Source organism: Homo sapiens, chromosome 17 (assembly GCF_000001405.40).
Source record: "Homo sapiens chromosome 17, GRCh38.p14 Primary Assembly".
Taxonomy (NCBI): Eukaryota; Metazoa; Chordata; class Mammalia; order Primates; family Hominidae; genus Homo; species Homo sapiens.
The window spans coordinates 42,700,204-42,711,404 of record NC_000017.11 but is presented as its reverse complement, the minus strand read 5'-3'; the positions used below and the strand labels follow the sequence as shown (position 1 = coordinate 42,711,404).

Here is an 11,201-nt window from a genome sequence, read left to right as displayed (position 1 = left end):
GCCTCCCAGGTTCAAGTGATTCTTCTGCCACAGCCTCCCAAGTAGCTGGGATTACAGGTGTGCACCACCACGCCCGGCTAATTTTGTATTTGTAATAGAGACGGGGTTTCACCATGTTGGCCAGGCTGGTCTCAAACTCCTGACCTCAGGTGATCCACCCGCCTCGGCCTCCCAAAGTGCTGGGATTACAGGCATGAGCCAATGTGCCTGGCCATTTTTGTATTTTTTTTTAGTAGAGATGGGGTTTCACCATGTTGGCCAGGCTGGTCTCAAACTCCTGACCTCAAGTGATTGGCCCAGGAAAAGACAGGAAAAGACCACAGTGAGAAGACAGACTGAAGAACAGGGACAAGGAGGCAGCTGTCAGGGCCAGCATGTCCAACAGGAAAGGAACCCCAATGCTTTGGCTTCCTACCTTCTGGAGGAGACTCTGTGGCCTCTTCTTCATGCTTCCTGTACTGAGAACAATTAATAGAACCATGGACTGGGCAAGGTGGCTCACACCTAGAATTCCAGTGCTTTGGGAAGCCATGGTGGGAGGATCGCTTGAAGCCAGGATTTCAGGACCAGTGTGGGCAACAAAGTGAGACCCCATTTCTACAAAAAAAAAAAAAAAAAAAAAGCCACGTACCTGTAGTCCTAGTACTCAGGAGGCTGAGGTGGGAAGATGGCTTGAGCCCAGGAGTTCTATACTACATTGAGCTATGATGGCACCACTGCACTCCAGCCTGGCCAAGAGTATGAGACCCTCTCTCTTAAAAAAAAAAAAAAAAAACAAACAAAAACAGAACCATGAGCTGAAGTGCCCTTTGCTTTCATTTTGGAGCTCATACCTATTTCCCTGATCACAGGTTCTCAACGTAACCATCTATGGATTTGTATGCAAGAATGTTCTTGTCTGTATTTTCCTGAGAATAGTTACAGTTTTCAAAGATCCCCCACAAAGGGCCAATAGCCCCAACAAAGAAAAGGAAAAACTAAAAACCAGTGCTTTAAGAGAAAAAACACATCCTATTGAAATGGCTGAGGCTCCGGTATCTTTATACTGACAGAGGGAGCTAATATTTAGCCCACTGAAACCATTCCTGTCCTGTCCTGTCCTGCCTTACACTCAGTTACACAAGGCACAGCGTTGCCCTTCCTAAAAAGAAGAAGATACTGTTGGTCACAGTCAGCCCACTCTTCTACCCGTGGCTTGGTAGAAAGAGTAGTAGGTGACAGCTTCTGACCAGGGGCGGTATTACTGTGCTCAGTATTTCTCCTTTCCTGAGTCAGGATAAATAATTAGGAATGAACTTCAGAGCCAGTAACCCAATGTTCCAGTGGCACTCTGTCTCTCCCTGACTGATGAGAGGCTTGGTCAGCTGCCTGAGTTTCTCAGAACCCTCCCAAGGCCAGCACCCAGCTGGGCCACTTACCTGACCCCCTTGCTCGAGGAGTGACAGGCCCGTTGGATTTCTCTTCCAGGTCTTTCAGTTTGCAGTCAAAGAATCACTTATCCTGAAGCTGCCAACAGATGAGCTCATGAACCCCTCACAGAAGAAGAAAAGAAAGCACAGGCAAGAAGGGTTGGACAAAGTGTTTTGTTTTACAGCCAGGCTGTTCCCTGTGCTCTGACCTCCCCTTGGAGTTCCCATCTGCCTCCCTCTTTAGCAACCGCACAGGCTGTGTGAGCCCATCAGCTTGGCATCACATGACTGAGAGCCAGCCTCCTGAGTGCTCCCTGAGGGTCTGTGCCTTAGATCAGCCCTCTTCTTGTCCCCCAGTGCTGTGGACCATAACTGTCTGTTTTTCTATTTAAGCTTCTGGCCAATAGGACATGAGCTGGCCTCATGGCTCCACCCTGAAGCCATTTCTCCTTGTTGGTTTTGTTACCACCTTACCCATTTCTCAACTCTGATCAGAGTTTATTTATTTGTTTGGTTTGTGTTGTTTTTCTGAGTTACATGATAGCCTTTACTTAGGTTGGAAGTTTTTAAAAAAATTCTGCACCCTGGCCCTGTTCCCTAGTGACTATCACCTATCAGAGGAAGGAGCTGACACCACTTCTAGATACAGAAGGAAATCCCTGTGGCTCCTCCCTTTCAGTTCTTTCAGAGAAGATTCCTGAAAGGCCTTCCCACCTCCCCATCTTGAAACTCCCCCATATCTCCACCTCCACAAAGACAAAGGGAGAGATTTGGAGAGAAACAATAGCTTTATAATAGACCAATAGGCTTGGGCTTTCTTTTATTTCTGTGTTGTGTTCTTTTATGTTATTTGCTTGTTTGGGAGGGGTTGTGTTTAAGTTTAACTCTTGTAGCACAGGCCAGCTGGATTTAGGATGGACTCTAGCTTCTGTGTACCAAAGTCGTCCTGTTGAGGGGTTTGGGAAGATACTCCCCAGTCATCAAACACAGTCCCTCAGAGCAAGTCACGTTGTCATTTACCTGCATTTGCAGAGCTCCCTAGGGCCGTGACTGAGACCTGTCCTTCCTGTCTTTTTCAGATTGTGGGCTGCACACTGCAGGAAGATTCAGCTGAAGAAAGGTAAGTTCTACCAGGGCATTCTTCAGCAGTTCAGCTGGAGGCCTCACTCTGTGGTCATCACCCTACCCCACCTCCAGCTGCACTTGTTGACCCTGTGCCACTTCCGCAGATTGCAGAATTCTCTGCAGCAACTGAGAACAGCTGAGCCTCTCACTGCAACTGAGAAGACCTCTTAGGAGGTAACATTAAGGGCCTTGTGGTCTGTGATTTTTCTTTTTTTTGAGATGGAGCCTCGCTCTGTCACCCAGGCTGGAGTGCAGTGGCACAATCTTGGCTCACTGCAACCTCCGCCTCCCGGGTTCAAGCAATTCTCCTGCCTCAGCTTCCCAAGTAGCTGGGATTACAGGCATGTACCACCATGCCTGGCTAATTTTTGTATTTTTAGTAGAGACGGGGTTTCACCATGTTGGCCAGGCTGGTCTCGAACTCCTGACCTCAAATGATCCACCTGCCTCGGCCTCGCAAAGTGCTGGGATTACAGGCGTGAGCCACTGTGCCTGGCCAGTATGTGACTTTTCTAGTGTGCCATTTGCTAGGTTCCAGACCTCATTTAATGTTTAGAATAGCTTCCCTGTTGTCCCAGACCATCTCCACACCCTCCCCACAAAGCAGATCACCCCACTGCAGCTTATGAACAACGGTCATCCCTGTCTTCTCACTTCAGGTGCTAAATGTGTGTCCAAGGAGATTGTTAGGACCAGCCTCCTCTGAATCAGGGCAGCTGGACACTTGGGAGGGAAGACAGCTGGAGAGTATGGTCACAGCAGCATCCTCCTCTGTTTTCTTTCCTAGATAACTCTTCCACACAAGTGTACAACTACCAACCCTGCGACCACCCAGACCGCCCCTGTGACAGCACCTGCCCCTGCATCATGACTCAGAATTTCTGTGAGAAGTTCTGCCAGTGCAACCCAGACTGTAAGTGTGCTACGTTTTCTGTATAGTCTACCAAAACAGTTGGCTCCAGTGTGCCCTAGGCTTGCCCCATTCCTGTGCCCTTTACTGCTTATGGCCTTCTGATATCCCCTTTGCTGTGTTTTAGGGATTCTACAAATGAAATAAGTGCATGAGATCTGGGAGAGTCGTTTCTGGAAAACGTTTAGGTTCATGATTCTAAAAGCAGCAATTACACAGAAATCAGATACTTTCCCAACTTTGTCTTCTAGGGGAGAATTAAGAAATGTGGGGGGCAGCAGGCGCAGTCACTCACGCCTGTAATCCCAGCACTTTGGGTAGGCGGATCACTTGAGGTCAGGAGTTCAAGACCAGCGTGGCCAACTTGGCGAAACCTCATCTCTACTAAAAATAAAAAAATTAGGCCAGGTGTGGTGGCTCACGCCTATAATCCCAGCACTTGGAAGGCCAAGTCGGGCAGATCACTTAAGGTCAGGACTCAAGACCAGCCTGGCCAACATGGTGAACCCCGTCTCTACTAAGAATACAAAAATTAGCCAGACATGGTGGTACATGCTTGTAGTCCCAGCTACTTGGGAGGCTGAGGCACAAGAACTGCTTGAACCCAGAGGGCAGAGGCTGCCAGTGAGCCAAGATTGTGCCACTGCACTCCAGCCTGGGCAACAGAGCAAGACTCTGTCTCAAAAAGAAAAGAAATGTGGGACTCTTTTTTTTTTTTTTAAGTTACAGCCCCAGTTTCCCTTTTCTGAATACTGTTTTAAAAAATTTTTTATTCAGATATTTTTTGTTTGTGATTCTGTGTATGTCTATTTTCATTTCATAGCTGGAGTTTTAATATCAGGTAGAAGACAGGGGCCTGGATGTCAGCAGAGACATCCGGGTACTTATCTTTTACTTCTTATCCCACCATGCCCTTCCCAACTCAAAGCTGAGCAGTTTGATGGCAGTCCCCACAGCTTGCAGAACTTGGTGCCCAGGCGGTTTTGCTGGAGGAAATACCTCCTAACCCATAGCAGATAGTGATCTTAGCCGCAGCAGAGAAGTGGTTGCGCTGGGTTGGGCAGTGGGTGGAGAAGGATGGCATAGAACGGATGCATTCTGTTCTCAAAATGATACTTGTTTTGATGGTGACAATTTACCAGTGAAACACACTGATTTCATATTCTCTGGGGTACTCTCCACCTCAGTGGGAGGGAGAGGATTGTTGGGGAATCTCTAGGGGACACTTCTTATTAGTATACCTGCTTTTTTTTTCATTTTTTAAATTTTTTTGAGACAGGATCTCAGCTCTGTTGCTCAGGCTGGAGAGAAGTGGCACAATTATGGCTCACTGCAGCCTCAACCTCCCTGGCTCAAGCCATTCATCCCCCTACATCCATCAAGCCTGGGACTACAGGCAGGTGTCACCACACATGGCTATTTTTTTTTTTAATTTTTTTGTGGAGACAGGATCTCCCTATGTTGCCCAGCCTGGTTTTGAACTCCTGGGCTCAGGTGATTCTCCTGCCTTGGCCTCCCAAAGTGCTAGGATTACAGGCATGAGCCACCATGCTTGACCACACCTGCTTTTTTGACTCGAAGGCATGAATGTTGGGAAGCACTCAGTTTTCTATGGACAAAACTTGTGTATTTGATTATTGGGAAGGGAGCTTCCTCTTATTTTGCCAAACATCCTTGAACACAAAAAATTTACTTCTTTGCTGTCCCTTGAGTCAACCACAAGCCCCAGTATTAGCTTATTTCCCTTCTAAGACTTACCTGTCTTCCCTTCCCAGGTCAGAATCGTTTCCCTGGCTGTCGCTGTAAGACCCAGTGCAATACCAAGCAATGTCCTTGCTATCTGGCAGTGCGAGAATGTGACCCTGACCTGTGTCTCACCTGTGGGGCCTCAGAGCACTGGGACTGCAAGGTGGTTTCCTGTAAAAACTGCAGCATCCAGCGTGGACTTAAGAAGGTGAGGCCTTTCCTCAGGACCCCACACCACATAAAATGGAGGGGGAAGGAAGGAACGGTCCCAAGCATTCTCTTTCCACTGGTTCTTTTGAGGCTTTATATGTGAAAGTGCTTGATAAATCCTAAAAGACACATATTTACTGAATTAATAAAGGCTTCAGTCCCAGTAGGGCTTAGAAAAATGGTTCCTGGCCAGGTGTGGTGGCTCATGCCTGTAATCCCAGCAGTTTGGGAGGCCGAGGCCAGCGGATCATGAGGTCAAGAGTTCGAGACCAGCCTGGGCAACATGGTGAAACCCTGTCTCTACTAAAAATATAAAAATTAGCCAGGCATGGTGGTGCATGCCTGTAATCCCAGCTACTCAGAAGGCTGAGGTAGGAGAATCGCTTGAACCTGGGAGGTGGAGGTTGCAGCAAGCCGAGATCGCACCACTGCACTCCAGCCTGGGACAGAGTGAGATTCCATCTCCAAAAAGAGAAAGAAAAGTGGTTCCTTGAACTGGCCAGACAAAAAGGAGCTGCGAGGTGTATGCACCTTTGGTGATGTCTATGTTTACCTCACACATTGCAGTGAATTCCTATAGACTAAGGCCCAGGAGGGCTCCATGGATAAAGGAAGAGATATCCTATTTCCGTTCGTCACCACCTCCCATTTTCTTTTCTCTCCCAAGCAGAAAAGAATGGGTTAGACCTTTTTCTGCTTTCAGATCCTCTTAACAGTTGCTGGTTCTTTCCACCCCACCCCCACCACACATGTGCACATCCAGCACACACCCCCTACTCATGCACACCCTGTAGTCTGAGACTTGGCCCCCTCTTCCCCAGCACCTGCTGCTGGCCCCCTCTGATGTGGCCGGATGGGGCACCTTCATAAAGGAGTCTGTGCAGAAGAACGAATTCATTTCTGAATACTGTGGTGAGGTGAGTGCTATAGTTTTGGCCCACATTCTTACTCGGGGGAGACTGATGAGAAACTCTGATTTTCTGTGGGCCAGGCTTCTTTGAATTAATCTCTAAATAACTCAGCTGTGTTCTCACGTGGCCTCTTGGGGAGATCCCACAGAACCGTTTGCAGTACTGAAACCACTGTTCAACTCTTTGGCAACTCCAGACACAAGAGATGAGGGGGGCTCTTTTCAGCCTTAAAACTGGTTGGCCTGGGTGGGAATTGGAACAGCATAACTTGAACTTGCTCTCTTGTGATTCTCATCATGATGCTCAGTAAGCACCCATGTGAGATACCACCCAGCCCTTTCTGGGGGCAGGGTACCATGCCCTGAGCAGGCAGCCTGATACTCCTATTTGTTATTTGTCTATCTCTCTAGCTCATCTCTCAGGATGAGGCTGATCGACGCGGAAAGGTCTATGACAAATACATGTCCAGCTTCCTCTTCAACCTCAATAATGGTATGAAGTCACTTTGTCTCATCCCAAGGTGGTCTTTTTTTTTTTTCTTTTTTTGAGACGGAGTCTTGCTCTGTTGCCCAGGCTAGGGTGCAATGGTGCGATCTTGGCTCACTGTAGCCTCTACCCTCTGCCTCCCGGGTTCAAGTGATTCTCCTGCCTCAGCCTCCCGAGTAGCTGGGACTACAAGCACCTGCCACCATGCCCGGCTAATATTTTTGTATTTTTAGTAGAGACTGGGTTTCACCATGTTGGCCAGGCTGGTATCGAACTCCTGGCCTCAAGTGATCCACCCGCCTCGGCCTCCCAAAGTGCTAGGATTACAGGAGTAAGCCACCGCACTTGGCCCCAAGGTGATCTTTCTACCAGATTGCCCTTGCTGTAGTCCAAGTTTAGATCAGCTCCGAATCTTCCAGCAGATGCATAGAGCAAGGGGGCAGGATCACACTTGGGGATCCCACAGGCCACAGTGCCCTTGCTTTGGAAGAACCTCCATTTCTGGGTTCTGTTTGTAATAGGAGTGCTGAGCGTCTTTACCTGAGAAATCTCCCTGCCCAGTAGATGAGAAGATCCATAATTCAAAGAGGGACCCAAAGGGAGTGCTCCCACACAAGGCTGAATTCTGAGGCTGCATGCTTTCCTCTGCTCCTGTTAGCACACTGGGCTTCAACATTCCCATCAGACTAAAGTGTTTCTGTTACCATTTAACTGATTTTAAATTCAAGCTGAGAAGCTGTGGAATTGCCTGCTGTGCTTATGGTTTTCCTTGATTTACTTTATACAGATTTTGTAGTGGATGCTACTCGGAAAGGAAACAAAATTCGATTTGCAAATCATTCAGTGAATCCCAACTGTTATGCCAAAGGTGAGTCCCAGTAACCTGGGAGGTGGGGTGGGGGATGGATGCCTCTTTACTGTGATTTCCATTCGTTGTTGAACATTTTCCTTAGCTGAGCTATTTTTTGTCCAAAGATAATCATGATTAATATCTGGTATCATTTTAGGCCCCTCTCAATCTTAGTTTTCTAATCTGCTTTTTTCAGCGAATACATTATAAACACTTTCCCACAAACATGATTTAACCAGCCTGAGCAACATAGTGAGACCCATCTCACAAAATAATAATAGGCTGGGTGTGGTGGCTTACGCCTGTAATCCCAGCACTTTGGGAGGCTGAGGCAGGTGGATCACTTGAGGCCAGGAGTTCAAGACCAGCCTAGCAAACATGGTGAAACCCCATCTCTACTAAAAATACAAAAATCAGCTGGGGGGCGTGGTGGTGTGCACCTGTAGTCCCAGCTACTCAGGTGGCTGAGGCACAAGAATCGCTTGAACCCTGGAGGCAGAGGTTGCAATGAGCCAAGATCATGCCACTGCACTCCAGCCTGGGCAACAGAGCAAGACTCTGTCTCAAAAAACAAAACAAAACAAAACAAAAAACCCCACTTATAATAATAATAAAGATAATTTTTCTGCCATAATAACAGATCTAAAAGCATAGAGGCAACTACCATATTGACTACTTTCTAATTCCATTTGATTCATGTTTTCACTGGGAATTTGGAGAAAATCAACCCAGAAGCCTACTGGTTATTGACTTGGAGTTGGGTAGGAACCTAGCCTCGGGTTTATCCTGCTTGCAGTGGTCATGGTGAATGGAGACCATCGGATTGGGATCTTTGCCAAGAGGGCAATTCAAGCTGGCGAAGAGCTCTTCTTTGATTACAGGTGAGGTGCCAGTAATGGTCCTTGGGATGTGGCCCAGGAATTGGAAAGAGTGGCTGTTGGAATAGATTTGGGGGCTCAGGGAGGGTAATGGAGATGGAGGAGAGAGTCTCCCGGTGAATAAGGCTGTGTCCCTTGTTCTGATATCTGGTGCCTTGCCTCAGAAGTGGGACCATTGTAAACAGCCCTTAAGGAGTGGGAGGGGAAGTGAAACGGGAGGGGACTCCGCCTTTTCAATCACAAAAGTCATGAGAGTAACCTGGTTCCTCTTCCCTGCTCTGGGACAGGTACAGCCAAGCTGATGCTCTCAAGTACGTGGGGATCGAGAGGGAGACCGACGTCCTTTAGCCCTCCCAGGCCCCACGGCAGCACTTATGGTAGCGGCACTGTCTTGGCTTTCGTGCTCACACCACTGCTGCTCGAGTCTCCTGCACTGTGTCTCCCACACTGAGAAACCCCCCAACCCACTCCCTCTGTAGTGAGGCCTCTGCCATGTCCAGAGGGCACAAAACTGTCTCAATGAGAGGGGAGACAGAGGCAGCTAGGGCTTGGTCTCCCAGGACAGAGAGTTACAGAAATGGGAGACTGTTTCTCTGGCCTCAGAAGAAGCGAGCACAGGCTGGGGTGGATGACTTATGCGTGATTTCGTGTCGGCTCCCCAGGCTGTGGCCTCAGGAATCAACTTAGGCAGTTCCCAACAAGCGCTAGCCTGTAATTGTAGCTTTCCACATCAAGAGTCCTTATGTTATTGGGATGCAGGCAAACCTCTGTGGTCCTAAGACCTGGAGAGGACAGGCTAAGTGAAGTGTGGTCCCTGGAGCCTACAAGTGGTCTGGGTTAGAGGCGAGCCTGGCAGGCAGCACAGACTGAACTCAGAGGTAGACAGGTCACCTTACTACCTCCTCCCTCGTGGCAGGGCTCAAACTGAAAGAGTGTGGGTTCTAAGTACAGGCATTCAAGGCTGGGGGAAGGAAAGCTACGCCATCCTTCCTTAGCCAGAGAGGGAGAACCAGCCAGATGATAGTAGTTAAACTGCTAAGCTTGGGCCCAGGAGGCTTTGAGAAAGCCTTCTCTGTGTACTCTGGAGATAGATGGAGAAGTGTTTTCAGATTCCTGGGAACAGACACCAGTGCTCCAGCTCCTCCAAAGTTCTGGCTTAGCAGCTGCAGGCAAGCATTATGCTGCTATTGAAGAAGCATTAGGGGTATGCCTGGCAGGTGTGAGCATCCTGGCTCGCTGGATTTGTGGGTGTTTTCAGGCCTTCCATTCCCCATAGAGGCAAGGCCCAATGGCCAGTGTTGCTTATCGCTTCAGGGTAGGTGGGCACAGGCTTGGACTAGAGAGGAGAAAGATTGGTGTAATCTGCTTTCCTGTCTGTAGTGCCTGCTGTTTGGAAAGGGTGAGTTAGAATATGTTCCAAGGTTGGTGAGGGGCTAAATTGCACGCGTTTAGGCTGGCACCCCGTGTGCAGGGCACACTGGCAGAGGGTATCTGAAGTGGGAGAAGAAGCAGGTAGACCACCTGTCCCAGGCTGTGGTGCCACCCTCTCTGGCATTCATGCAGAGCAAAGCACTTTAACCATTTCTTTTAAAAGGTCTATAGATTGGGGTAGAGTTTGGCCTAAGGTCTCTAGGGTCCCTGCCTAAATCCCACTCCTGAGGGAGGGGGAAGAAGAGAGGGTGGGAGATTCTCCTCCAGTCCTGTCTCATCTCCTGGGAGAGGCAGACGAGTGAGTTTCACACAGAAGAATTTCATGTGAATGGGGCCAGCAAGAGCTGCCCTGTGTCCATGGTGGGTGTGCCGGGCTGGCTGGGAACAAGGAGCAGTATGTTGAGTAGAAAGGGTGTGGGCGGGTATAGATTGGCCTGGGAGTGTTACAGTAGGGAGCAGGCTTCTCCCTTCTTTCTGGGACTCAGAGCCCCGCTTCTTCCCACTCCACTTGTTGTCCCATGAAGGAAGAAGTGGGGTTCCTCCTGACCCAGCTGCCTCTTACGGTTTGGTATGGGACATGCACACACACTCACATGCTCTCACTCACCACACTGGAGGGCACACACGTACCCCGCACCCAGCAACTCCTGACAGAAAGCTCCTCCCACCCAAATGGGCCAGGCCCCAGCATGATCCTGAAATCTGCATCCGCCGTGGTTTGTATTCATTGTGCATATCAGGGATACCCTCAAGCTGGACTGTGGGTTCCAAATTACTCATAGAGGAGAAAACCAGAGAAAGATGAAGAGGAGGAGTTAGGTCTATTTGAAATGCCAGGGGCTCGCTGTGAGGAATAGGTGAAAAAAAACTTTTCACCAGCCTTTGAGAGACTAGACTGACCCCACCCTTCCTTCAGTGAGCAGAATCACTGTGGTCAGTCTCCTGTCCCAGCTTCAGTTCATGAATACTCCTGTTCCTCCAGTTTCCCATCCTTTGTCCCTGCTGTCCCCCACTTTTAAAGATGGGTCTCAACCCCTCCCCACCACGTCATGATGGATGGGGCAAGGTGGTGGGGACTAGGGGAGCCTGGTATACATGCGGCTTCATTGCCAATAAATTTCATGCACTTTAAAGTCCTGTGGCTTGTGACCTCTTAATAAAGTGTTAGAATCCATTTTGGCAAGTTGTGTACTGTGTGCTTTGGGGCTGGAAGGATCCAGGGATGGGGTCCAGGAGCAGGTTGGG

General features: G+C 48.9%; 1 protein-coding gene and 1 non-coding gene across 8 annotated transcripts in view, besides 1 other annotated feature; both read left to right on the top strand.

The window, feature by feature from the left end:
- The window catches only part of EZH1 (enhancer of zeste 1 polycomb repressive complex 2 subunit), a 44,766-nt gene extending 33,636 nt beyond the window's left edge, over positions 1 to 11,130 (top strand). For all 7 annotated transcript variants that reach the window (XM_011524517.3, XM_005257145.3, NM_001321079.2 and 4 more), the window contains 9 exons: positions 1,468 to 1,559; positions 2,489 to 2,529; positions 3,322 to 3,447; positions 5,220 to 5,398; positions 6,222 to 6,317; positions 6,722 to 6,803; positions 7,585 to 7,665; positions 8,444 to 8,528; positions 8,813 to 11,130. In XM_011524517.3, coding sequence (XP_011522819.1) covers positions 1,468 to 1,559; positions 2,489 to 2,529; positions 3,322 to 3,447; positions 5,220 to 5,398; positions 6,222 to 6,317; positions 6,722 to 6,803; positions 7,585 to 7,665; positions 8,444 to 8,528; positions 8,813 to 8,873 — 843 coding nt within the window. In that variant the 3' untranslated portion in view covers positions 8,874 to 11,130. The remainder of the gene's footprint in view (positions 1 to 1,467; positions 1,560 to 2,488; positions 2,530 to 3,321; positions 3,448 to 5,219; positions 5,399 to 6,221; positions 6,318 to 6,721; positions 6,804 to 7,584; positions 7,666 to 8,443; positions 8,529 to 8,812) is intronic.
- Positions 3,254 to 3,321, top strand: MIR6780A (microRNA 6780a). Its single transcript, NR_106838.1, has one exon. It is a non-coding gene; the product is annotated as a microRNA 6780a (primary transcript).
- Positions 5,915 to 6,555: an enhancer, noted in NCBI's record as "+39 kb enhancer region used in reporter constructs". NCBI's record gives its function as "activates an SV40 promoter by reporter assays in GM12752 lymphoid cells {active_cell/tissue: GM12752}" and the evidence as "EXISTENCE:reporter gene assay evidence [ECO:0000049][PMID:25578878]".